This window comes from Homo sapiens, chromosome 12 (assembly GCF_000001405.40).
Source record: "Homo sapiens chromosome 12, GRCh38.p14 Primary Assembly".
Taxonomy (NCBI): Eukaryota; Metazoa; Chordata; class Mammalia; order Primates; family Hominidae; genus Homo; species Homo sapiens.
Window position 1 is genome coordinate 63,834,663 of NC_000012.12, and position 27,421 is coordinate 63,862,083.

The window sequence follows — 27,421 nt, forward strand, 5'->3', positions numbered from 1 at the left end:
GCCTGTCCTGCTTCTCTTATGTCTAAATTTATTAATTATAAGTAGGTACAAGCCTCTGACTGCTTCATTAAGTTTTCTATTGTAGTGGATCTGAGTATTTGCATATTTAAATATATATCATTTCATTATGATTTACTTTCTTTTAATGTGTCCATGTTACAGTTAAATGTTATATTGACTTTATGAAGAAAAATACAAGGCAGATACAGATACATTTTTTTTCTTGCTTTTTTTTTTTTTTCTAAGAGACAGGGTCACACTCTGTCACCCAGGCTGGAGTGCAATGGCACGATATTAGCTCACTGCAGCCTTGAACTCCTGAGCTCATACAATCCTCCTGCCTCAGCCTCCCAAGTAGCTGAGACTACTGGTACGTGCGACCATGCCCAACTAGTTTTTTTGTTTTGTTTTGTTTTGTTTTTGTTTTTTTTAATTTTTTTTTTCTAGAGACAGGGGTCTCTCTAAGTTGCCCAGGCTGCTCTCGAACTCCTGGCCTCAAGTGATCCTCTTGCCTTGGCCTCCCAAAGTGCTAGGATTACAGGTGTGAGCCACCACATATGTCTCATTTTGTTTTCTATAAATTCTCTTTTAGAACAGTAAATGAGACGTTACAAAATTTTTATTATAAAAAGGGATTTCAGGCTGGGCGTGGTGGCTCACGCCTGTTGTAATCCCAGCACTTTGGGATGCCCAGGTGGGCGGGTCACCTGAGGTCAGGAGTTCAAGACCAGCCTGACCCATATGGTGAAACCCTGTCTTTACTAAAAATACAAAAAAAAAAAAAAAAAATTAGCTGGACATGGTGGCGGTTGCCTGTAGTCCCAGCTGCTCGGGAAGCTGAGGTAGGAGAATTGCTTGAACCTAGGAGGGAGGTGGAATTTGCAGTGAGACAAGATCGCACCACTGCACCCCAGCCTGGGCAACAAGAATGAAACTCTACCTCAAAAAAAAAAAAAAAAAAAAAAAGGTGGGAGGGAGGGTTCAAATTCTGTAAAAGTAGAGCGTGAAACTCTTCTGTATGATACTGCTTTAGTGGAAACATTTCATTATGCATTTATCAAAATCCATGGAATGCACAACACAAAGAGTGAACCCTAATGTAAACTATGGGCTTCAGTTAATAATCACAGATCAATATTGACTCGTCAATTGTAACAAATGTATCACACAACCACAAGATGTTCATAATAGGGGAAATCGCAGGGTAAGGAAGTTTATGGGAACTCTCTTGTACTTTCTGCCCAATTTTTCTGTAAACTTAAAACTGCTTTTAAAATGCAATAATTTATTGCTTTTATTTCTTTAAGAAAGCATTGGTTCTGATTGGTTTGAGAACAGCTAATTTAAATAAAGAACTACTTCATAAGAATTCAAATTTATACCAAAAATCTAGGACAGGTGATAATTGTTTTCCAAAAATGTTCTTTCCTTTACAAAAGGCGATAGATACCATGAGATTCTTTCAAATAACAAATGTCTCTGTTACATTTAAATAGGACTCTACCAACCCTAGATTTCCCTTGCACAGTCACCAGCAGCAGATCTGTGTGTAAAATGAGGAATAACGCCACAGACTGTTTCTTTGTAGAAGAGGTGACAGAATTAGGCAGCCTCAAAATGTCTGCTGCCAAAGTATAATGGCAAGAAAAGAAGGAGTCTGTCATTTATTTCCTAAAATATAAGCATTAGAGAGATACATGTATTTCTTGGTATAATAAATCTTTTGTTACAGCTTGCTTTATATACCAATTTATCTCTAACTCTGACAACTGAATTACAACTGCCATTTCTTGTCTAACTTTGGCTGTTTTCCTCTGAGTAATAATACAATCTTTTTTTTTTTTTTGTATAAGTGATGGGATTTAATACTTTCATCAGGATGGGTTCATTGAATATTCATATTCTGCTTATATTGTGCAGAGCCACATGGGAAGCTGTAGTAGAATTTCAAAAGCAGAAAATAGTAGCTCTGATGAGAAGGCTGTTATGTGTGGGTGTTTAGAAGTTATTAATATGAGATTAAGCAAAGCAAATTCTGTTTTAACAATGATTTGTGCAAAGTGGAAACAGGTGATTTTTGAGCAGATGGCTAAAAATATTATAGAGCAGCTTCACTGAAACAAAATAAAAGAGTGTAAAGCCCTGATTTATTTTAGTTTTCTTGAAAATCAGAGACAAGTTTTTTTGGGGGGAGGGGAGCTAAATTATACAATTGAACATTTTTGAATAATCATTCATTTCATTGCTGTCTTTTGCCTTTTCTCTCTGTGACATTCCATTTCTTTACCTCTTTCTTTTCTGTCCTTTCTCTCTCTGCCTGTCTTTCGTCAGCCTCTCCTGCACCAATCCTTTCAGGACCTCATCGAAACTCACCTTTATTGTTTCATTCCATCCTCTTTTCTGCCAGGGAAAGTGCATCAGAATGGAATTGGCAAGATCATTTGACAGCTTGTCTTTACTATTCTGCTGCCAAAAGAGGGAAAATGGATATTTATACGGTCCATTTAGACAAGCTGCTGTAAAATTACAGGCCAAGTTTCTTTTAAAACAATAATTAATATTTCTTGATTGACTATCTGGCAAACTGCACTGGACTAATCCAACCTATGAATGAGTGGGATTTCCCTAGATTTGTGCAGTTGAACCCTGCACAAATCTACTCAGAAGTGGGTTTTTATTGTTGGATTTTGTTCACACCAATTACAAAGCGCAGGGCTCACAGTGTTGGGTTGAATAATATAATATTGCCATTTTTATGTCAAAAATGATCAACTATCAGCAATGTTATGTGGTTCAACTTAATAGATCATAAATATCTGTTGATTATAATTGAATAGACTATACAATTCATTCTATAAAATGTTTGAGGTAATGTATAATAAAGTGTGGACATATAGTAAGCTGATAATAAGCTACAAAGCAAGCCCATTAATATCAAAGAAATCCTCAACTAACATACAAGGTTCCAACAAGAAGGTAAATAGGACAGATAAATAAGGTACAAGGTCCTCGACAACTGCAATGATTTTACTATAAATTTAGACCTTCTCATTCTACATCGAAGTAATACCAATGACAATGACAACCAATATTTATTTGTGCCAGACTTGGTGCTAAGTGCTTTATATATACTTTGCATTTAGTGCCTACCACAACCTGTTAGGGTAATTATCTCTATCTTACAGATAAAATAGTACTAATAATAATCTTTGAGAAAATCGTCCAGTTTCTTAGGGACACATTAAATTGAAACAAAAGTATTGACAATGTCCTCAGTGTTACTTGAGTAAATGTAGCAAATCTTTTATAAGGATATTATTTTAATATCCCTTAGCCTTGAGCAAAGATTCTCATGCATAAGAATCACATGAGAACTTCCTAGGCACCCAAAATTCAGACCCTAATGTTTCCTTGCTCTTCCACATGTGGTCTTTATGACAGCACTATTGACATGGCATAGGAGGTTATGAAAAAAGCAAGATCTTAGGCTCATTCCAGAAGAAATCAGAACTGCATTTTAGCAAGACCCCCAGGTGATTTGTACACACATCAAAGTTGAGAAGTGTCATTTTGAAGAGTGTAAAGTAGGTCCCATGTGTCCAAATTTGAAACACATTCCCAAAGTGATTCTGATGTATGTGATCAATGGTAAGGTCATATTTGATAACACATTGTCCCAAGACATGATACCAAAATGCAATTCACTGAAACCAATACTGCAAATAATTTGAGAAGCCAAAGGGTTACAGAATCAAGACAGTAAGAGAGAGGTGTGCAGAGCAATCTGTATTCTGAAGCTCTGGCTGGATCCAGAAATAAAACCTAGGATATTGGCAGGGGAGAGTGTATCCTTTGTGTTAAGAGGAGTAGCAGAATGGCCCATTTCAGACATGAAATTCTTTTTTTTTGAGACAGAGTTTCGCTTTTGTTGCCCAGGTGCGATCTTGGCTCACCACAACCTCTGCCTCCTGGGTTCAAGCGATTCTCCTGCCTCAGCCTCTAGAGTAGCTGAGATTACAGGCATGCGCCACTATGCCCGGCTACCTTTGTATTTTTAGTAGAGACGGGGCTTCTTCATGTTAGTCAGGCTGGTCTCTAACTCCCGATGTTGGGTGATCCGTCTGCCTCGGCCTCCAAAAGTGCTGGGATTACAGGTGTGAGCCACCATGCCCGGCCCCAGACATGAAATTCTTAAAGGCTAATACCACAGCTAGCCAGGCCTGGTGGCTCATGCCTGTAATCCTGCACTTTGGGAGGCTGAGGCAGGCGGAGTGCTTGAACTCAGGAGTTCAAGACCAGCCTGGGCAATGTGGTGAAATCTGGTCTCTACCAAAAAATACAAACATTAGCCAGGTGTGGTGGTGCACACTTGTAGTCCCAGCTCCTCAGGAGGCTGAGGTGGGAAGATTGCCTGAACCTGGTAGGTGATTGTGCCACTGTACTCCAGCCTGGGTGACAGAGTGAGAATCTGCCTCAAAAAAAAAAAAAAAAAAAATCCACAAAACAAACAAACAAACAAAAACACCTGTGTGAATTTGGCATCGACTCTTTAAAATATTTGTGTTAATTTTTAGAAAATAATTTTAATTATTTACCTCTGAGCCAAAGTGATGCTGCAGTAGGGTGCATGATTTATTTTGTGGCTATAGGGACCTCCGTGCATACTCTTACTTATCCCAGGGCATATGGTCAAGTGGTAAATTAACTTCTACATATGGAAATTTGGGGGCAGTCTAAAAAGGACCATGCTAGATAACAGAGTGGATTAGTACGTAGCAGTGGTCCCAACCATCAGGCACTCCAGATTTCTCACATGTTCCTAAAGAATGGGAGTGTGGCAGGGGAGAGGCAGGTTTTCCCGGGCCAAGTGCAGTCTTTCTTGTTTTATAGCTAGAAAAGAGCTACCACAAGGTGGAGCAAAGTCACAGAGAAGCGGTGTGAGAGCCAGAACCAGGGTTGCCTGTCTCCCAAACTTGGGTCACCCTGGCTTTCTGCATTTTAAATCACAGGCATTCTCCATACCCAACTTTGTAAACTGAAATGGGTTCTTAACTATGGGAAAGATAAAGAAAATCTGAAAAAAGAAAATAATGGAAATACTGGCTGGGTGTGGTGGTTCATGCCTGTAATCCCAGCACTTTGGGAGGCCTATACGGGCGGATCACCTGAGGCCAGGAGTTCGAGTCTAGCCTGGCCAACATGGTGAAATCCCATCTCTACTAAAAATACAAAAATTAGCCGGGTGTGGTGGTGTGTGCCTGTAGTCCCAGCTACTCGGGAGGCTGAGGCAGGAGAATCACTTGAACCCAGGAGGTGGAGGCTGCAGTGAGCTGAGATCATGCCACTGCACTCCAACCTGGGCAAGTGAGACTCTGTGTCAAAAAAAAAAAAAAAGTTAAAAGAAAATAATGGAAACACTAATTGACTTGTTAATTACACTAAACAGTTGGATCAGAAAAGAGATCCACCAATAGAAACCCATGACTCCGTCACACACATTTTACTTATTTGAACTCACTTCACAAGTTTAAAGGAATCATAAGTTCATAGGAAGTGGAATGGAAAATTGGAAAGAGTACCCACTTTGGAGACAGGCAGATGTGAACTGGAATTCTGACCCTGCCAGGCCAGACATTTACTGAATTTTCTGAGCCTCCAGATTCTCATCTGTAAAATGAGGACAATGGTGTCCGCCATGTAGGGTTCTTCTGAGAATGTGTGCAAAATTCTTACCTTAGTGGGTATATCCCATCTTCAACAACAATAAAATGGTGGCCTACTAATGGTGGCATTAATATTCAATACATTTTATTGACTGTGTATTGAACACCATAATAAAATTAAAGATGAAACATTATCTCTGATCTTTATTTATTCTTTGTAGAAATGAGGCTGGTCTTGTACTCCTGGGCTCAAGCAATCCTCCCACCTCAGCCTCCCAAAGTGTTTAGATTACAGGCATGAGCCACCACGCCCAGCCTATCTCTGATTTTTAGATAGCTTTCTATTAGGAAGAGTAAAACTAAGATAATAATTGTAAAGATAACTAATACTCACTGGGTGTATACCATGGCCTACAAGTACTTTTAAGGGTTTATCTCAGTAAGTGCTTATAACATCCCCAGGACTTAGGCATTAACCAATTTTACAGATAAGGAAAATTTGTAACCCATTTTACAAACTAAGGCCTAGAGAGAATAGTAATTTTTACCAGATCCCTTAGGAAACAGCAGATTTAGGATTCACCTCTGGGCACCCTGTCTCTGGGGCTTGTTTGCAACACACTGATTTAGGTCTAGACTCAGGCAACAATTCATTTCTAGGTGCTGCAATCTCTGCTGTCAACTTGTGCTTCCCAGGTGCAAATATGAAACAAATCCCAACAGCATCATGGATATGAATCCCATTTAGATGTGACTATGATTATCACCTAAGTAGGCTGCCTGCCTGGTCTCTCTTTCTCTATGGCTAACCCATCCTTCTACACTGCCAACAGTTATCTTTATAAAACACAAATCTGATCGTGATACTTCTCTACTTAAAAGGCTCCCTGCTGTCTGCAGAACTGTGTCCAAGATCTTAGCATGGCACAGGAGGACTCTCCCAGCTGGCCCTGACCTTCCTTCCAGCCTCTGCTTTCTCTTCACCGTACACTCTTACATAAGACAGCTCCACGTGAAATTAGGGCAGCCAGGGGTGCCATAGTATAACTGCCTGTGTGGTAAAATGAAAAAAAGACTGAAAAAAAAACTTAAAAAAAATTGGCATATTTTCTTTACATATATTCTGTTGCTATAAAGTAAAAAAAACTTGCTAAAATTAGATTTTAAAAAAGCAGTGCAATTAACAATGTCCACATACCCACATACTATCAGCTGACACATGCATATACATATATTACAATTTTTTACATTATTTTTCACCATCTAGCAGAGATCTGGTATCTTAGTGGAAGATATCTTGTCACTCTATTTGCAATTCCTCTAGAGTATAACACTCTTCCTTTTCCCTGGAATGCATCCCTTTTCCTCCCTAAAGTTGCCAGCTACTTACTATTCATCCTTTAAATCCAGCTCAAAACCACTCCTCTGCGAACTCTTACACCCAATCCTCTTATGCAGTCTGTTTTTCCATCCCCAGTGCTCCCAAGACTGGGAGTATTTCTATCTCTTACAGCATTATTGTACTGCTTGTAATTATTTATTTATACAGTAATAGACTGCATGATCCTTTCCGGCAGTCTTAATCTTTGAATCCCTAGTTCCTAGCGTGGTGTTTGGCACAGAGTTAAGAACTGGAGAGCCGATCACTGGATACATGAAAGAATGATCAAAGTCTAAAAGTCCCTACTTTCTTTAGATCTTGTGGGGAAAACACTTGAGGGGATACACCTTTGGACACATCATTTTGATAAATCAGGCCCATAATATTTGAGAATTGATTTGAAAGGAGTCAGTAAATATCTCAAGTGGTGTGAGTCAAAAAGGCTAACAGAACCAGGTGTGGTGGCTGATGCTTGTAATCCCAGTGCTTTGGGAGGCTGAGGTCGGAGGATTTTCTTTTTTTTTTTTTTTTTTTTTTTTGAGAAGGAGTCTCCCTCTGTCGCCCAGGCTGGAGTGCAGTGGTGCAATCTTGGCTCACTGCAACCTCCACCTCCTGGGTTCAAGCGATTCTCCTGCCTCCGCCTCCTGAGTAGCTGGGATTATAGGCACATGCCACCATGCCCGGCTAAGTTTTATATTTTTAGTAGAGATGGGGTTTCACCATGTTGGCCAGGCTGGTCTCGGACTCTTGACCTTGTGATCTGCCCACCTCGGCCTCCCAAAGTGCTGGGATTACTGGTGTAAACCACCGTGCCCAGCCAGAATCTTTTGAGGCCAGGAGTTTGAGACCAGCCTGGGCCATAGAGCAAGGCTTCATCTCTACAAAAAAGTAAAAATAATAAAAAAAAATTTAAAAGGCTGGCAAGGATGGATTTAAAGTACTTAACACAACACCTGAACCATGCAAAGATGGCAAGGTAAATTCTTCGTTATATTGTTCAAAAAGAGACTAGAGTTTGAGACCAGCCTGGACAACATAGGGAGACCCCCGTCTGTACTAAAATGAAAACAAACAAACAAATAAAATAAAAAGAGACTAGACACGATAGATCTTGTAAAAGGTATCTATTAAAAACGTGGCCGGGCGCCGTGGCTCACACCTGTAATCCTACCACTTTGGGAGGCCGAGGTGAGCGGATCACTTGAGGTCAGGAGTTCAAGACCAGCCTGACCAACATGGCAAAACCCTGTTTCTACTAAAGATACAAAAATTACCCAGGCACGGTGGCGGGCGCCTGTAGTCACACCTACTCTGGAGGCTGAGCCAGGAGAATCACTTGAACCCGGGAGGCGGAGGTTGCAGTGAGCGGAGCTCGTGCCCCTGCACTCCAGCCTGGGCGAGAGTGAGACCCCGTCTCAAAAAAAACCCCCAAAAAACAAAATCAAAAAACAAAAACAAAAACAACCGTAAAAGTACTAAGTGCAATGTAGTGTCCTGTGTTGGATCTTGGAACAGAAAAAATGACACTAGTCGAAAAAATTGGTAAAATTGGAATAAAATCTGGAGTTTAGTAAATAAATAAGCTAACAACGCCGTTAAGTGTGACGTGTTTCCATACCATCGCTTTCCTACCATCCTAGCTTCCCTATCTACTGTAGGAATAGAGGATATGGTGTTCAAGGTGGGTGTTTTTCTCCGCCTCGATTGAAGAGCTTCGCGCTCTTTGGATTAACAGCCAGGTCATTCACAATTCAGTGTTCAGTTTTTCTATTGGGGTCCAGCGTCTCGGAGTAACATCCCTTTGTGTCATGGATACATCCAACTCTGGACTTCCCCATTAGATTCTGGCAAAAGCCCCACCAGAGCCCCCGCCAGAGCCAGAAGGCGGTCCCTCAGGTCAGGAAGGGGTTTTCCTGCCGCCGGAGCCGCGACCTCGGCTAGCGGTGGAGCGGGGCTTCGGCGGAGGGAGGTGCGGGGCCTCGGCGGAGGGAGGTGCCGGGGGCGCCGCCCACGGCCTCCTGGGCTCGGCGCGCGGGGCCGGGCTGCGGTTGGCCACAAGAGGCATCCATCTTCCCGGACCAGCCAGGCGTTTCCTAGCGGAGCAGGGGCGGGAGCTTGGACGGAGAAGGGCACAGGCCGGAGCGCGGTCCGCTCCCGCGAGCCTGGCCCCGCCTGGCGGAGCCCCGAGGAGCCACCGCCCGCAGATCGCTAGCCGGGCGCCCGCGAGGCGCGAGCCGTGTGCGCACCCTCAACTTTGCTGCCGCCGGGGGCGCGGCTCCCGCGTGCGTGTGCGAGTGTGCCTGTCACTAGCGGCCTCCTGGGGGCAGCAGCGGAAAGGGGGACGCAGAGAAAGGCAGCCTCGGCGCACCGCGGCCAGGGAGGCAGAGGCCCCTCGCGGCGCCGGCTCTGGAGACCTAAACTCCGCCGGGGCTGTGCCCAGGGCGCGTCTGAGCGTCGCCGCCTTCACCCTCTCAGCAGCAGCGGGGACTCGCGTCAGGACTGCGATTCCTTTCGCCTGCCGAGCTGTAGCGGCAGTGTCTGCGGGCAGAGGAGCGGCGGCCGTGGCAGCAGCATCCCCAGCCCGGGCGGGACCCTTGAGCGCCGGAGCCGACAGCTGGAGGCAGGAAGGGAGGGTTGTGGCGCCCGAGCTGGGCGCGTTCCCAGCGCCTGCCCTCCGCCGCTGGCCCTGTCCCGGGCGCCCGGTGCGGGTCTCGAACAATGGTGCGGAGCGCCGGCGCGAGCCCCGCGCCCGCCCAGCGGCCGTAGAGGAAGTGGCCGGGCTCCCGGCGAGGTGGGCAGGGAGACGTCCCCCGCCACTCGCTGGCTGGAGTTTGCCTGCGCGTCCGGCCTCTCCCCCGGGGATCCCCTGGGATTACCGACGGAGCTCAATTTCGAGAGTATGGTGCCAGCGCCCGGGCTAATCTAGTCCTCTCTACTCGCTCTTTTTCCCCTCCTCCTCCTACTTCTCCTCTCCCTCCTCCCTTCCCTCGGGTCGGCGCTGCCTCTGGATTGCCTGCGTGTGGGAGTACAACTCTGCCTCTCCAAGGAGAACGGGTTGTGACCACTGAACAAAACTTGCCCATTGAAAGCAAACCCGGAACAGCTGGATAATGTCCACCCCGAGCCGATTCAAGAAGGACAAAGAGATCATAGCCGAGTATGAAAGTCAAGTCAAAGGTAAGGATGGGAGCGGCTGCCTTGCTCCTTTTGTGTGCCTTCTTGTCATTGTGCTCGTGGAGTTGCGTATCTAACTTGGTGTCTGCGTGGGAGGAAGGTGGTGAGGGGACAGCTCGAGCCCTGTCTGAGCCACCTGGGCTTCCTACAAGCCAGTTAGTTCCCAGTTGCAATCCCAGTCCCGTCAAACCCACGGGGAGCTGGAAACTGGGTGACTTCCCCCGCCAGCTGCCAGCCCGCATCTCTAATGGGGAGAGAACTGGCTTTAACTTAACCACCTTCAGCTGGGCAACTTATGTGGGAAGCAGGCAGCAGTGGAGGATCCTGTCCAGCTATTATTATCACCATCATTATTCTTTTTAAATGGTAGGATTGTCACTACGTAATTTTTTTACGGAATGATTTTTGTAAAGTCTGTGAACCCCAAGCGGTCTACAGCCTCATTGAGTGCAGGCTATTTCAGATATTTACACCACTCACCTATTTACACCGCTCACAATTTATTAGGGCGAGACCCCTTTTATTAAATAGCTCCCTAAAAGCCTGGCAGTTAAACGAAGCAGTGACTAGTGGAATCTGACTCTTCCTTTATAATGGGCCAGAATTCATTGCCATCTTTCACACTCACATGGGAATATTGCTTTATCATTTTCTGGAAGCCACTTGCATGTAAAATGAAGGTTTGAATATTTGAGTAGTAGTTTCAGTCCATTTACATTGTCAACTAATGAAGGAAACCTAATTAAGGCTGATTATTTTTACTTTCTATGCCTTGTGATTAAAAATATATATATTTTCTCTCCAATACAAGTATTTTGTTTTGTTACTGAAGTGTTTCGTAAACATATGTGTTACTTGAATTTTTTCCTCCTCTTTCCTGAGGTCTCAGGAGTAGCTTTCCTGATTGAGACAATGGATGGAATGTTGGGACCGCCACTGTTCTTTGACACATTCAATGCAAAGTTCATAAAGATTGCTATGTATACACCTGTGTTTATCTATGCACAGTCTTATGAAAGGGCTACGGAGAGAGGCATTACTGTACTTCCCTTGAGCAAGGGAGGAGCAGCCTGAGTGTTCTTTTGTGTGGTCAAGTTGTAAAAATGCCTGGAGTCCTGTGAGAGGACCTGGTGGAGAAATCCTGTATCATCCAGTGTGAATACAGACCAACTCATTGTGGACACTGCAGACACAATATGCAAGATAACTTAGGTTATCTTTAGGAGGACCCCTATAATGGAGTTATCTATAGGCTGACCCCTATAATGTGTTCAGGAGACACAGATTTTTGTCTGCTTGGAATTGTGATAATTTATACTTACAGGAACTTGTTTCATTGCTATGGAAGTTGTGTTAGCAGATAAGTAATTATTTTCTTAGAGCCAGGTAAACTTTCTAATGAGACTAACCTTTCTTTTTTCAGTGAGTCCAACATAGCCTAAAACCTTTCATTCCAGGGCAGTACTCTTGTTCACAACCACCATTTCTCTGTGCAGTTTTTCCACATGGCTCTTTGTGGCAGGTCTTCAAGGGGTGGCGGTCTGGTTTTTCTGCCGCCTAGAGCACTAATTGGCAAATGCACTTCCAAATGTTGATTTCTTTATGTTTGCTGTAAGGTCACTTGCCAGTGATCAAGTCCTTATTTGAAAATCAGCGAAATGGGATGTGTTGCAATGTGTCTATCAAATTCAAACGGAAGAAAAATCATGAACATGGTGAAAATCACATTTGGAGCTAAGTCTGTCCCACAGAGAATGACCTTCTCCCTATTTCCTTCAACACTTCTTCCTTCCACACACCCACGAGTCCCTAGGCTGCTTTAGGAGTCTTCACTGCACCTGCCCTGCCCTGAGTCCAGGCTTTACCTCCTCCTGCAGTACCTACACATCCAGTATCTAACCTAGATCACTACATCCATACACAAACATGGGAATAAGGGAATATCATGGAGTCAGATCATATACGCATTAAATGGCACAAATTCACCTGGTACTTCTAGGCAAATCAAGAAGAGAGTGGGAGACAAATAACAGATAAATAGTACATGAGGCCAGCTGTCCAATGCAGGGAGAGTAGGCCCCTTAGTAAGGACAGCATGGGAGACAAGACTGGTTTTTCTGTACCCTCGCAGAGTGCTAGTCTGTTATTTACAGGTATGTGTTTTGGGATCAGGTGCAGTGGTGCATGCCTGTAATCTCCGCATTTCAGGAGGCTGAGGCAGGCGGATCACTTGGGGTTAGGGGTTCAAGACCAGCCTGGCCAACATTTTGGTAGAGAAACCACATCTTTACCAAAAAATACAAAAATTAGCTAGGTGTGGTGGCACACACCTGTGGTCCCAGTGTGCCTGTGGTTCCACTTGAACCCAGGAGGCAGAGGTTACAGTGAGCCGAAATCACATCACTGCACTCCAGTCTGGGTGACAGAGTGAGACTCTGTCTAATAAATAAATAAATAAATAAAGGTATATGTATTTGGAACAAACTACTTTTTAAATTACAGTCAGCAACTTTATCTGATGATAAAAAAAAATTCTGTTCTATTGCTAAAGGAAAACCTGACTGTGTGGGACTCATTAAGACATAAGTCTAGGCCAGGCACGGTGGCTCACGCCTGTAATCCCAGCACTTTGGGAGACCGAGGTGGGCGGATCACTTGAGGCCGAGACCAGCCTGGCCAACATGGTGAAACCCTGTCCCTACTAAAAATACAAAAATTAGCCGGACATGGTGGTGCATGCCTGTAGTCCCAGCTACCCTGGAGGCTGAGTCAGGAGAATTGCTTGAACCCGGGAGGCAGAAGTTGCAGTGAGCTGAAATTGCGCCACTGCACTCCAGCCTGGCTGACAGAGTGAGACTCTGTCTCAAGAAAAACACAATGAATAAACATACATATTGGACTCTATAGGTGACTTAGGTGTGTGGGTGATTTCAAGAGTCATTTTGATTATATGTATTTTTTTTTCTACCTTCTAACTTAGAACCTAACACTCTAGAATATTTTCCCCTGTTACTCTCTCCCATTTTCCCTAATAACAACTTTATTTATCTCAGAATTTTTGAGATAATGTTTTGACCTAAAGGAATGACTTCAGATATGGAATTTTTTTATTCTTTAATTTTTATTTTATATATATATATATATAAAAGGAGTATCGGTCTGCTGCCCAGGCCAGAGTGCAGTGGCGTGGTCTCGGCTCAGTGCAACCTCCACCTCCTGGGTTCAAGTGATTCTCCTGCCTCAGCCTCTGGAGTAGTTGGAATTATATACACGCACCACCACGCCCAGTTAATTTTTGTATTTTTAGTAGAGATGGGGTTTCGACATGTTGGCCAGGCTGGTCTCGAACTCCTGACCTCAGGTGATCCACCTGCCTCTGCCTCCACCTCCCAAAGTGCTGGGATTACAGGCATGAGCCACTGCACCCGGCCCAGATATGGAATTTTGCCACTGTGGCTGCCTGCACAGGTTTTGGGAACAGACTTCATGGGGCTATTCTTAACTGTGAAAAGAACCATTCCTGGTGATAATTCGTAATTTTATGTATAAGATCATAGATGTATCTAGTTGTGTGTATCATTTTGGGCAAGTCACTTAGCCTTTCTCTGGGTTTCGGTTTTCTTATCTATAAGATAAGGAGTTGGAATTCTCTTCATCTTAAGTGTCTTTTTTTTTTCTTTTTGAGACAGAGTCTCACTCTGTCACCCAAGCTGGAGTGCAGTGACACGATCTCTGCTCTCTGAAGCCTCTGCCTTCCGGTTTCAAGTGATTCTCATGCCTCAGCCTCCTGAGTAGCTGGAAATACAAGCGTGCACCACCATGCCTGACTAATTTTTGTAATCCTAAGTGTCTTTGAATCTAATTGAAGATGTCATATCAGTTCATATTAATTGCCTCATAAAATTTTCAAGCTTTTAAAGTTTTCAGTTGGCTGCTCTGTTTTGTGGAGAATCATTTTTGCTTTCACTTTTTTTTCATAAGTTCATGGACAGTGTATAAATTGAGTTTTTGGAGAATTAAAATAGAATACAATAAAGAATACAGAAAAAACAGTAATCAAAACCACATGCAGAGAAATGTAGCACAGAATTGTAAGACAGAAGAATCAGGAATGATACAAGTGGTTAAACAGTGGATAGGTTTAAATGGGGGACAAAAGGGGACCCCAGGCAACAGTTTTAAAGAATGAATTGAACATTTCATGCCTCTTGGTCAAATTCTCAAAGACTTAGAATTAAGAGAAATAAATCTCTTGTTTGAATAGGCCATTAGAAAGCAAGCATGTCTGGAAAAGTGTATGAAACCCAAACCAGTTGACTATGCTATTTGTTAGCATCTCTGGCAAATAGCGTAGCAGTGGAAGGGATTGAATAATTGGCTAGCAGAAGGTTTTGAATTATCTGTGGACTTTAGTGATCTATGTAATTCTTGTATTCTGCAGCAAAAATATTGTGGAGCTACACATATGGGAACAATAAAGACTCATAAAGACATGTTTTATGAAGTGGAACTTATAGATGAGAGGCTGTGTTTGTTTTTAATAATGCATGTTGCTAGTTGCTAAGAATTGACAGTTATTATTTGTAGTATTTTCCTAGAGATAGCACCATATTTATCTACATGGAATATGTACAGGGAGTGCCAAGAAAATCTGTTGTTCTTTGACCACTCTGCAGCCTGACATACAAATAATACATTTTAGTAGCAGATGGAACATGAGGAAATGCCAATTTGATTTGGTATGGCCCTGCATCATGCCATAGCAATATGGAACCTGTGTCTGCATCTTACATTCTTTCTTCAACATAGAATAGGAAGTGACAGCAATTTAAGTTATGAATTAAAACTTTATAGCTGGGAGGGACTTTTAACATTTTTTCTCCAACCCACTCATTACATGATGCAGGGAGGCTTAATGACAGAGTTGCACAATTAAGACGTACCTGGGACCAGAACCCAGGTTATCTTCTTTTCAGTAGCGATAATTCACTTGTAGATTCCTCACATAGTAGATATCTAAATAGGAGATAGAACAGTTACCTATTGAGACTTTACATTCATTGAAGGAGTCATTGTTGGAACTAAGAGAGCAAGGAAACCGTCGTCTGTGAACAGGAGTTAATTACATTGATTAACTCTAACCAAGTTGTTTTTTTCACCAGGACCATTTTAAGAGACCACAATACCCAGGCAGCAGCTTCACAGGGTGGCCTTTAAGGTCTAGAAAAACAACATGGTTAATATGTACAAATATGATTTGCCTGATGTTTTGGTGAAGCTGATTGCGCTACTGCAACAAGGCCTTTACAGTGCCCTGAAAACCCGGTTAGTTTCATGAACTTCAGAATATATTAAGGGATAGTTTTGGAGAAAATTTTGAGCAAAGCATGACCTTCTGAAACACATGAGGGCTGGATTATAATACAGGGTAGTAAATCTCAGCTCTGACAATCTATATTGGTTTGTTTACTCCTGTGCTATGTTGACCAGTTTAGGAGCCAGACAGCTTCAAGTCTGTTCTAGGTTTTAGAGTCTTTGTAAATTGGCCAATTTTTTTTTTTTTTTCTTCAAGACAGGATCTTGCTTTGTCACCCAGGCTGCAGTGCAGTGGGTGAACAAGGCTCACTGCAGCCTTGACCTCCTGGGCTCAAGCGATTCTTCTGCCTCAGCACCCCAAGTAGCTGGGAATATAGGTACACACCACCATACCTGGCTATTTTTTTTTTTTTTTTTTGTAAAGATAGGGTTTCGCCATGTTGCCCAGACTGGTCTCAAACTCCTGAGCTCCTGCCTCAGCCTCCCAAAGTGCTGGGATAATTGGCATGAGCCACCATGCCCGGCCAAGGAGAGACAGCTTAAAAAATTTTATTCATGCTACCTATTTTCACTTCAATTCAAACAACTAACAAAATAAAGAAAAGGGAATAAATTGTTTGTCTAATTAGTCTATTTATGCTTTAGCAGTTTGAAGGCAGAATTTTGGATTAGAGGATGGGCATGGTAGCTCATACCTGTAATCAATCCTAGCACTTTGGGAGGCCGAGGCGGGTGGATTGCTTGAGCCCAGGAGTTTGAGACCAGCCTTGGCAACATGGTGAAATCTCGTCTCTACTAAAAACACAAAAATTAGCCGGGTGTGGTAGCATGTATCTATAATCCCAGCTACTCTGGAGGCTGAGGCACAAGAATCACTTGAACCCAGAAGGCAGAGGTTGCAGTGAGCTGAGATTGTGCCACTGCACTCCAGCCTGGGCCACAGAGCGAGACTCCATCTCAGAAAAAAAGAAGTTTGGTTTAGAGACAGTTATGTAAAGGTAATTTTGTCAGCTCAGAACTACTTTCTAATTTATTGACAGCATTATCTACTCTCCCCTGTTGATATGTTAGACTGGGAAGAAACAGAACATGGTATTTAAAACCAGGAACTCTGGGCCAAGCACGGTGGCTCACACCTGTAATCTCAGCACTTTGGGAGGCAGAGATGGAAGGATCATTTGAGACCAGGAGTTCGAGACCAGCCTGGTCAACATGGCGAGACACCATCTCTAATTTTTAAAAAATAAATAAATAATAAAAAACCAGGAACTTCGGTGTTAGCAGTCTAGCCTTGTCACTGATTAGTTGTGTGATCTCTAAGAGTCAATTTCTTCATCTGTAAAATAGGGATAATAGTAGTACTTACCTTGTTGTCTTCTTTTCTTTCTTTCTTTCTTTTTTTTTTTTTTTAGACCGAGTCTTGCTCTGTCACCCAGGCTGGAGTGCAGTGGCGGGACTCTCAGGTTCAAGTGATCCTCCCACATCAGCCTCCCAAGTAGCTAGGATTACAGGCATGCACCCCCATGCCCAGCTAATTTTTTTGTATTTTTGGTAGAGACAGAGTTTTACTGTGTTGGCCAGGCTGGTCTCGAACTCCTGACCTCAAGCAATCCACCTGCCTCAGCTTCCCCAAGTGCTGGGATTACAGGTGTGAGCCACTGCATCTGGCCTCCTTGTTGTCTTTGTGAGATTGCAGTGAGGAAAACATTTATCACAGGCTTGGCACATAATAGTCAACAAATGTTAGTCATTGTTATCTCTTTAATGCTGGTTTTCTTTCTATCTACTGTATTTATTTATTTATTTTTGAGACAGGGTCTCGCTCTGTTGCTCAGGCTGGAGCACAGTGGCCCAATCTCGGCTCAGCTCACTGCAGCCTCAACCTCCCCAGGCTCAGGTGATCCTGCCACCTCAGCCTCCTGTGTAGCTGGGACTATAGGCGCCTGCCATCACGCCTGATTTTTGTATTTTTTGTAGAGACGGGTTTTGGCCATGTTGCCCAGGCTGGTTTCAAACTCCCAAACTCAAGTGATCCACCTGCTTGAGCCTTGGGCCTCCCAAAGTGCTGGGATTACAGGCATGAGCCACCTCGCCCAGCATGTTGTTCTATCTGCTGTATCTTGTTGCATTCTGATTTAGATAGGTTTTTTGAAATTCAAATACGTAATCACTAGTCTTTTTACCAGAATGAATTCCAAAGTGGACTAATCTTGAATTATCCTAAGAGAGTGCCATGTGCTTTTAGAGTGGAGTGGGTTTCATGGTGGAATTTAAAAGGGAAATAGAATAGACAATGCATACAGATTCCCAGCTCATTATAAGGTGGATTTTATATTTTGTCATTATTTTTCATGCAAGTGCAAGTAACAAAGCCTAAAAGCACATTCCTGGCCCTGGGCTGCCACGTATTTAAGAATAACTTTTGTTTTAAATTGTCTCTACCTCTGTTCAGTGATGCTGTATGGAAAATGAAAACTGTAGTTCAGTCAGTGGATTTGACTTACCTGTGGGTGAAAAAGATTCTTATGACATCAGATAAAGTCACTGCCTTAATCTCATAGTCTTGAGAAAAGTATTTTCTTTTAAAATCAATGTAGGAATGAAAATTCCACTTATGACTGCTAATTTGCTTCTGTTTCACTAGAAAGCACTTTGATATTAGAAATCATTGTCTGTGCATCTCCCACACGCTTTAGTACAGGGCCTCATTAAACATTTATTACATGAGAAGAGGAATAATTTGGAATAATAATTCCTTTATACTGCAAATAAGCATGGTGATCATTCAGAATTATCTAGGATGTCCAAACAAGTATTACCGCAAAATTTTTTTTTTTTTTGAGATGGAGTTTCACTCTTGTTGCCCAGGCTGGAGTGCAATGGCAAGATCTTGGCTCACTGCAACCTCCGTTTCCTGGGTTCAAGCAATTCTCCTGCCTCAGACTCATGAGTAGCTGGGAGTACAGGCACCCGCCACCATGCCCGGCTAATTTTTTGTATTTTTAGGAGACACGGGGTTTCACCATGTTGGCCAGGCTGGTCTCGAACTCCTGACATCAGGTGATCCACCCACCTCGGCCTCCCAAAGTGCTGGGATTACAGGTGTGAGCCACCGCACCCGGCCTATTACCACAAAATTTTAAGTTGAATTCAAATGGTTTATAATTTCTTTAGAAAGTCACTCAGCTGGAAACATTCTAAATGTCCAACAGTGGGGAATGGTTAACTAAATTCCACTGGTAAATTGTTAACTAACTGTATACATGCAATGTTATGCAGTCTTTACCACTGGTTTTTGAAGAACATTTTATGATGTGGTTAATTGTTTTTATAATAATTGAAGAAAGACTGTAAAATGGAAGGTGAAATAATAATTAAAGATAATCATAACCAGAGCTAACAGTATTGAGCACCTACAGTGAGCCAGTCACCATTGCTTTGCATGGGCACCATGAGGGATACACTGAGTTGTGTATGTGCAAAACAAGCTGCAATGCACGGGAGGAGGAATTTCTGCTTAACTTTCCTATTTAGTATAGTTAGTACTTTCTGTGTCTTTGGGCCACAGTATACCTGGCCTTTGGTAAATTTTCAGGCTAAATGTAAGAATCTGACTTTCAACTCCACCCTCCTTGAGTACAGGAGTGGGCAAGGTAAATCCAAGCAAAGCTTAGCCTCTGGATTGAACCTCTGATAATCAGATTTGTCCATGGGACAACCAAATTTCTCATTTGTTTACAACTCATTTATATACTTTGGTTTTTCCTTGCTTTGAGCTTAGTTGGCATGTGTGTTTGGGAGAGCAAGCTTGCTTCTTTGCTTGCTTGCTTTGTGAAATATACATACAAACAGGTACAGAAAATGATTATTTACAGTTTAAAGAATAGTAGCTTTGAATACTTCAGTGCTAGCCACCCAGGTTAAGAAAGAAACATTACCAGTGCCTTAGAAACCCCCATGGAATGTCCCTTTCCTAGCAAATCTCCCTTCATTCCCACTGCCACTCTTAGTATTAATAATTCCTTTGTTTTCTGTAAAGCTTTACTGTCATTTTGTAGCTTTCTTTATAGTTTTGATTAGGATGCATTCATATATCAAGAATATAGGGCCATTTGAACACTTTCTGAATTTTTAATAATATTGATGAATTGGTGTAAATTTTAAAAATTGGAATAGTAGTGTTTTGGCATGTATAACAAATCTTTATCTTTTAAAGATACATGCTGAGTAATAATGGATGAAATTAGGACATCTGGGATTTTCTTGAAAGTAATCTTGGGGAGGGAAGAAATACGTAGGGATACAGATAAAATACAAAATGAATTGATAATCCGTGGGTGCACGAGGTTAATTATATTATTCTCTTTATTTTTGCATATGCTTGAAATTTTCCCTAATAAAAAATTAATAATATGTATTCTTATGACTTCAATTTTATACTCAATATTATTATGTTAAGATTAATCTACCTTAATGTATGCAACTATAATTTCACTGCCACACTGTGTGCTTTCTCTGGTGCATAATATTCCAGTGCATAAAAAATACTACAAGCTATTGATTCATTCTATATGACATTTGAATTATTTATAGTTTTTTTGCTATCATGAATAGTAATAGTGTATAAAATGCTGTAGGTGTCTCCTGATGTATACGTACAAGAAGAGTTTCTCTAGGTGTACTTGCTGGGTCACTGGGAATGTGCATGTTCATCTTTACCAGGTAATGTCAAACCTTTCTCTTATTAGCAGGGGAGGAGAGTTCCACAGCCTGAAAAACACTTAGCATTGAGCAATGTGCTAGTTAAAGAAGAGGCTAAGCTGTTATAATAAAGAGAACCCCCCAAACAGTGACTTTAAACTAGAGAGATTTTTTTCTTTCTCGGGTAACAGACTGGAGATGTCCAATCCAGGCCAGCAGGACATCTTTGCCCCATTATTAAGTTTCCTTCCATCTTGTGGTTCTGCCATTACCTAGATAAATGAACTTGTCTACTCTTTGAAACCAGATTTTAAGTATTTCAGTGTTTCAGCTTGTAGGAAGGAAAATCAGCCTTAAGGAGCACATGTCCACGGTTTTCAAACCCAGCCCTTACTAGTACACATAATTTCCACTTACTTAACCAGTGGGAACTTAGTTACATGGCCACATCTTGCTGCAAGGGAAGCTGGGAAATATAGTCTCTCTGGATGGCCCTGTTTCTAATTATAACTTGATGGTCACAGCATGAAAGAAGAGATTTTGGTGAACAAGCAGCAGTCAACATGAAAAATGGTGTTTTTTTTTTTTTTTTTTTTTTTTTTTTTTTTGAGGGAGAGTCTCACTCTATCAGCCAGGCTAGGGTGCAGTGGCACCATCTCTATGGCTCACTGCAACCTCCACCTCCCAAGTTCAGGCAATTCTCATGCCTCAGCTTCCCAAGTAGGGACTACAGGCGTGCACCACCACACCCGGCTGATTTTTGTATTTTTTAGTAGAGACGGAGTTCCACCATGTTGCCCAGGCTGGTCTTGAACTCCTGGGCTCAAGTGATTGCCCTCCTTGGCCTTCCAAAGTGCTGGGATTACAGGCGTGAGCCACCATGCCCAGCCAGAATTATTTTCTCTTCCTTTTTATTTTTAATTTTTGTGGGTACACAGTAGGTGTGTATATCTTATTGATTTGTGAGTTTTGTTTTGTTTTAGTATGTTCGTGATGTTAGTCTCTTGCCAGTTATATCTGTTGCAAATATCTGCTCCCAGTCTGTAGCTTGTGTTTTCACTTTTAAAAAGATCCTCTAGGCTGGGCTTGGTGGCTCATGCCTGTAATCCCAGCACTTTGGGAAGCTGAGGCAGGTGGATCACCTGAGGTCAGGAATTTGAGATCAGCCTGGCCAACATGGCGAAACGCCATCTCTACTAAAAATACAAAAATTAGCTGGGCATGGTGGCAGGCGCTGGTAATCCCAGCTCCTTGGGAGGCTGAGGCAGGAGAATCATCTCAACCCAGGAGGTGGGGATGAGCCAAGATCGCACCATTGCACTCCAGCCTGGGCAACAAGAGCGAAACTCCGTCTCTAAATAAATAAATAAATAAATAAATAAATAAATAAATAAATAAAAAGATCCTCTTAATAAATAGAAGTTGTTCATTTTTAATCTGTTCACATGTATCAATTATTTATATTTGGTGTTTAAATAATCCTTCCCCACTCTAAAGTCAGGAAGATACCTGTCTGTGTCATCTTCTAAATGTTGTAAAATTTTGCTTTCGGCGTATGTTTTTAATTCATCTGAAGTTTTTTATTTTGTGTGAGCTAGGAATTTTGTTAAAGTTCTTTTCATTTAAATGACCTTTCTTGGGTTCCATGTGCTAATAGTCTTTTTGAAGAAATGATATGCTAGCTGCTTCTGTTTTGATGAAAGTTTCACATACGCAAAACTCTATTTTTGGACACTCTATTGTGTTCCGTTGGTTAATTTATTCTTGCACCAATACCAATCACACTATCTTAACTACTATAGCTTTGTAATAAGTCTTTATGTCTGGTAAGCTAAATCTTCCTTCTGTCTTCTTTTTCAGAAGTATCTTCTGATCTTGCTCCTTTCTCTTCCAAGTAAATTTTAGAATTAGTTGGCCTTCCATTGAAAACACATTGGCATTTTGATTGGAATTGCGTGAAATTATAAATCAGTTAGGGAAGAATTGGCATCTATATATTAGTTCTTCCTACCTGTGAATATGAGTATTCCTCCATTTATTTAGTTGTTTTAAAATATCTTTGTGTAAAGTTTTATGCTTTTGATATTTTTGTTTAGATTTATATCAGGATGCTATTTTTATGACTAATGTTCATGAGATCTCTTTCAAGAGTGTTTTCTACTTTCTATTATGCAGAAATGCAATTTACTGCTTTTTTTTTTTTTGAGATGGAGTTTCGCTTACCCAGGCTGGAGTGCACTGGCGTGATCTCGGCCCACTGCAACCTCCGCCTCCTGGGTTCAAGCGATTCTCTTGCCTCAGCCTCCCAAGTAGCTAAGATTACAGGCATGCTCCACCACGCCCAGCTAATTTTGTATTTTTAGTAGAGATGGGATTTCTCCATGTTGGCCAGGCTGGTCTCGAACTCCCGACCTCAGATGATTCACCCACCTTGGCCTCCCAAAGTGCTGGGATTACAGGTGTGAGCCACCACACCTGGTCTGCAATTTACTTTTTTTTTTTGAGACGAAGTCTTGCTCTGTCACCCAGGCTGGAGTGCAGTGGCATGGTCTCGGCTCACTGCAACCTCCGCCTCCCATGTTTAAGCAATTCTCCTGCCTCAGCCTCCAAAGTAGCTGGTATTACAGGTGTGCACCACCATACCTGGCAACTTTTTTTGTATTTTTAGTAAAGACAGGGTTTCACCATGTTGGCCAGGCTGATCTCAAACTCCAGACATCAAGTGATCCACCCGCCTTGGCCTCCCAAAGTGCTGGGATTACAGGCATGAGCCACCGTGCCTGGCTGCAGTTTACTTTTACATAGCCACTTTGCTAGTCTGCTATTTCAAAGAATTTTTTCCCTTGTTTGGTAAAAAAAACACTCATTATTTATAAATAAAGATGATTTTATTTTCTCATTTATAAGCCCTATGGATTTATTTTTCTTATATTTTTGCCCTAGGCAGAATTTCCAGTACAAAATTAGTGAAAGTGCCAACCTTGGCATTCTTGTTTTCCATTGAGAAAGGAATGCTTTCAGGCCCCTCCTCCCTTGAAGAATGATGGTTGTTTTCAGTTTATTATAGATACTCTTTAATAGGTAAAGTGCAAATCTTTTGTATTCTTTGCTTACTTGAAGTTTTAATCATTAATAGGTGGTTGAATGTTACCTTCTTTTTCTTTTTGAATCTGTTGATATTATGTTTTTTCTTCTTTACTCTGTTAATGTGATGAGTAATATTTATAGATTTCCTAATATTTAACCTTCTTTGCATTAAGGCTATCTTCGTTGTATTTTGTGTGTGGTGTGTGTGTGTGTGTGTGTGTCTGTCTGTCTGTATACACCGTTGGATTCAGTTTGCTAATATCTAGTATTTTTGTCTTTAAATTCTTGGGAAAAAAACAGACCTATGATTTTACTTTTTAATAATGTCGCTGTCTATGTTTTTTTTTTGGAGGGGAGGGTGGGGAGATGGGGCTTCACTTTGCTGCCCAGGCTGGTCTTGAATTCCTGGACTCAGAGAATTCCTGGGCTCAAACAATCCTCCTGCCTCGGCCTTTCAAAGTGCTGGGATTACAGGCATAGAGCCATCAAGCCTGACCACGAATCTGTTATACTAGCCTCACAGCGTGAGTGAGGCTATTTTGTGGAAGATTTTGAAACTTTGAAATATTTCTTTCATTGAGAGTTCAGTAGAACTGTTTATCTGAGTCTAATTAGTTTCCTTGTATGAATAATTTTTAAACTGCTAATCAGTAGTTAATCATTTTATTAGTTACAGGATTATTTGTGCTGTGTATTTCTTCTCATGTCAGTTTTGATAAATTATACTTTTCTTTTTTTGAGATGGAGTTTCGCTCTTGTTGCCAGGCTGGAGTGCAATGGCGCAATCTGCTCACTACAACCTCTGCCTCCTGGGTTCAAGCGATTCTCCTGCCTCAACCTCCCAAGTAGCTGGGTTTACGGGTGCGTGCCACCATGCCCAGCTAATTTTTGTATTTTTAGTAGAGACAGGGTTTTGCCATGTTGGCCTGGCTGGTCTGGAACTCCTGACCTCAGGTGATCCACCCGCCTCGGCCTCCCAAAGTGCTGGGATTACAGGCGTGAGCCACTGTGCCTGGCCGATAAATTATATTTTTCTAGAAATGTATTCATTCTGTATAAGATTTAAAATGTATTGAAATAATACTGATGATAGTATTCTCTTATTTTAAAAACATAGGCTGATCTGTAATGAATTAAAAATATATTATTTAAAAATATTTATTTTTGCCTTTTCTTGCTGAATCTTAAAGTAGTTTGTCTTTTTTGAGACGAGGTCTTACTCTGTCATCCAGGCTGGCATTCAGTGGCTCATTGCAACCGCCACCTCCCAGTTCAAGTGATTTTGGTGCCTCAGCCTCCCAAGTAGCTGGGATTACAGGTATGCACCACCATGCCTGGCTCCTGGCTAATTTTTGTATAATTAGTAGAGATGGGGTTTCACCATGTTGAACAGGCTGGTCTTGAACTCGTGGCCTCAAATGATACACTCGCCTCAGCCTCCTAAAGTGCTGGGATTACAGGTGTGAACCTCTGCACCTGGCTAGTTTATCTGTTTCTGTTGGTTTTTCTTCTCTGTTTTGTGAATTTCTGCTCTTATCTTTACTATCATCGTTTTCATTTTCATTGAATTTATTGTTCTTTACCTATTTTCTTAAGTTGAACACATAGCTCATTCTTTTTTATCCTTATTTTCTAATATAAGCACTTAAGATAATACAGTTATTTTCTATAATATAAACGCTATTACTAATATAAGTATTTAGAATGTAAGCATCTTTTAAAATGTAACACTTCTAACATAAACACCTTTTCCTCTTTTTAACATCAGCATGAAATGGAATACAATTCCTTTTCTAATATAATCATTCTTTCTAATATGACTGTTTCTTCTAATGTAAGCGTTAACCCTAAGAAAGGCATCTTTTCTTCCCTAATAAATATTCATGATAATTTTCCTTAAACTACTACCTTTGCTGCATCTCACTAGTTTTGATATGTAAAGAATTAAGTTCTAAAAATGTTTTAATTTTCATAATAATTTCTTCTTTGACTCATGAGGTGTGTGTGTGTAAATATATGGTATTTCCTTTTATTTTTCTGGGATGGGGTCTAACTGTGCTGCCCAGGCTAAAGTGCAGTGGCGTGATCTTGGTTCACTGCAACCTCTGCCTCCTGGGCTCAAGCAGTCCTCCCACCTCAGCCTCCTGAGTAGGTCGCTGGGACCACAAGCATGCACCACCACACCTGGCTAATTTTTTGTATTTTTGGTAGAGACAGGGTTTCACCATGTTGCTCAGGCTTGTCTCAAACTCCTGAGCTCAAGCAATTTGCCTGCCTTGGACTCCCAAAGTGCTGGGATTACAGGTGTGAGCCACCATGCCCAGCCTGGTATTTACATTTTTTAAACAGATACATAAGACTATTTTATTTTTTCCTTTTAATATAATTACATTATGAACTGAGAGTAATAGTGTTTGAAATTAGTTGGAGGTTGTTTCCCCTTTTTCTGTTTTCTGCAGGAGTTCATGTTAGATTGGAATTATCTGACTCTTAAATGTTTAGTAGAACTCATCTGCAAAGTCATCTGGGTCTCACATTTTCATCAAGGAGAAAAAAATCTCATTGTGTTCAAATTTTCTGATTAACTGACATAAAATTGTTTACAGCATCCTTTTATCGTCTTAATCTCTGCATTATTTTCAATTAGGCCTCTTTTCTGTTAATAACAAATGTCTGTGTATATATTCTCTCTTTTTTCATTGATTGACTTGCCAGAAGTATGTTTATTAGTCTTTTCAAAGAACTAGGTTTTTGCTTTATTGATTTACTGTATTGTATTTTCTGTTTCATTAGTTTATCCTATTATACTCTTCCTTTTTCTTCATTTCTCTCTTTCTTGCCCTCTTTTTTTTTTTTAAAGAGAAAGGGTCTCGCTTTGTTGCCCAGACTGGAGTGCAGTGCTTTTCACAGGTGTAATCATTGTGCATTATAGCCTGGAACTCCTGGGCTCAAGTAATGCTCTCACTTCAGCCTCTTGAGTAACTGGGAGTGCAGGCGCAGACCGCCAAGCCTGGCCCTTTTACTTTTCTCATGGGTCTTTATTTGCTGAACCTTTTTAAGGTTTGTATTTATTTTCTCAGTTATTATTTTTAAAGTTTTTTATTTAATTTCTCAGTTATTATTTTTCTTTTCTGATATAAAAATAAAAGGTTGTAAAATTTCCTCTAAGTACTGCTTTACCTGCATTCTGTAATTTTTTTTTTTTTTTAATAGAGACAGGGATTCACTATGTTACCAAGGCTGGTCTTGAACTCCTGAGCTCAAGCAATCTGCCCAGCTTAGCCTCACAAAGGGATGGTAGGCATATATATATATATATTTTTTTTTTTTTTTGAGGCAAAGTCTTGCTCTGTTGCCCAGGCTGGAGTGCAGTGGCACATTCTCAGCTTACTGCAACCTCCGCCTCCCAGGATCAAGCGATTCTCATACCTCAACCTCTGGAGTAGCTAGGATTATAGGCACCCACCACCATACCCACCAATTTTAGTATTTTCAGTAGAGACAGGGTTTCACCATGTTAGCCAGGCTGGCCTTGAACTCCTGACCTCAAGTGATCTGCCTGCCTCTGCCTCCCAAAGTGCTAGGAATACAGGCATGAACCACTGCACCCAGCCAGGCATAAATTTTTATATGTAGTGTTTTTATCTTTCAGCTCTGTGTATTTTCTAATTTCCATGATTATTATTTCTGTGACTCATGACCTGTTTAAAAATATGTTTTAGGCCAGGAGTGGTGGCTTATTCCGTAATCCCAACACTTTGGGAGGCTGAGATGGGTCAATTGCTTGAGTCCAGGAATTTGAAACCAGCCTGGGCAACATAGTGAGGCACTGTCTCTATAAAAAATTTAAAAATTGGCCTGGCGCAGTGGCTCACGCCTGTAATCCCAGCACTTTGGGAGGATGAGGTGGGTGGATCACCTGAGGTCAGGAGTTTGAGACCAGCCTGGCCGACATGGTAAACCCCGTCTCTGCTAATAACACAAAAATTAGCCAGGTGTGGTGGCGCATGCCTGTAATCCCAGCTACTCAGGAGGCTGAGGCAGGAGAACTGCTTGAACCCAGGAGGAGGAGGTTGCAGTGAGCCGAGATCACGCCACT

At 41.7% G+C, this 27,421-nt stretch overlaps 1 protein-coding gene across 4 annotated transcripts in view, besides 6 other annotated features; it reads left to right on the forward strand.

Annotated features, from left to right (window-relative positions):
- Positions 8,971–9,390: a silencer, noted in NCBI's record as "silent region_4616". NCBI's record gives its function as "represses an Ori minimal core promoter by ATAC-STARR-seq in GM12878 lymphoblastoid cells {active_cell/tissue: GM12878}" and the evidence as "EXISTENCE:reporter gene assay evidence [ECO:0000049][PMID:35858748]".
- Positions 8,971–9,544: a biological region, named in NCBI's record as "H3K27ac hESC enhancer GRCh37_chr12:64237485-64237986".
- Positions 9,043–9,544: an enhancer, noted in NCBI's record as "H3K27ac hESC enhancer chr12:64237485-64237986 (GRCh37/hg19 assembly coordinates)". NCBI's record gives its function as "activates a minimal SCP1, AML or CMV promoter by ChIP-STARR-seq in naive H9 embryonic stem cells {active_cell/tissue: H9 hESC(naive)}" and the evidence as "EXISTENCE:reporter gene assay evidence [ECO:0000049][PMID:30033119]".
- Positions 9,451–9,510: a silencer, noted in NCBI's record as "silent region_4617". NCBI's record gives its function as "represses an Ori minimal core promoter by ATAC-STARR-seq in GM12878 lymphoblastoid cells {active_cell/tissue: GM12878}" and the evidence as "EXISTENCE:reporter gene assay evidence [ECO:0000049][PMID:35858748]".
- Positions 9,545–10,044: an enhancer, noted in NCBI's record as "H3K27ac hESC enhancer chr12:64237987-64238486 (GRCh37/hg19 assembly coordinates)". NCBI's record gives its function as "activates a minimal SCP1, AML or CMV promoter by ChIP-STARR-seq in naive H9 embryonic stem cells {active_cell/tissue: H9 hESC(naive)}" and the evidence as "EXISTENCE:reporter gene assay evidence [ECO:0000049][PMID:30033119]".
- Positions 9,621–9,880: a silencer, noted in NCBI's record as "silent region_4618". NCBI's record gives its function as "represses an Ori minimal core promoter by ATAC-STARR-seq in GM12878 lymphoblastoid cells {active_cell/tissue: GM12878}" and the evidence as "EXISTENCE:reporter gene assay evidence [ECO:0000049][PMID:35858748]".
- Positions 10,038–27,421, forward strand: part of SRGAP1 (SLIT-ROBO Rho GTPase activating protein 1) — a 317,518-nt gene continuing 300,134 nt past the window's right edge. For all 4 annotated transcript variants that reach the window (NM_020762.4, NM_001346201.2, XM_024449096.2 and 1 more), the window contains exon 1: positions 10,038–10,221. In NM_020762.4, the coding sequence (NP_065813.1) occupies positions 10,155–10,221 (67 nt within the window). In that variant the 5' untranslated portion in view covers positions 10,038–10,154. The remainder of the gene's footprint in view (positions 10,222–27,421) is intronic.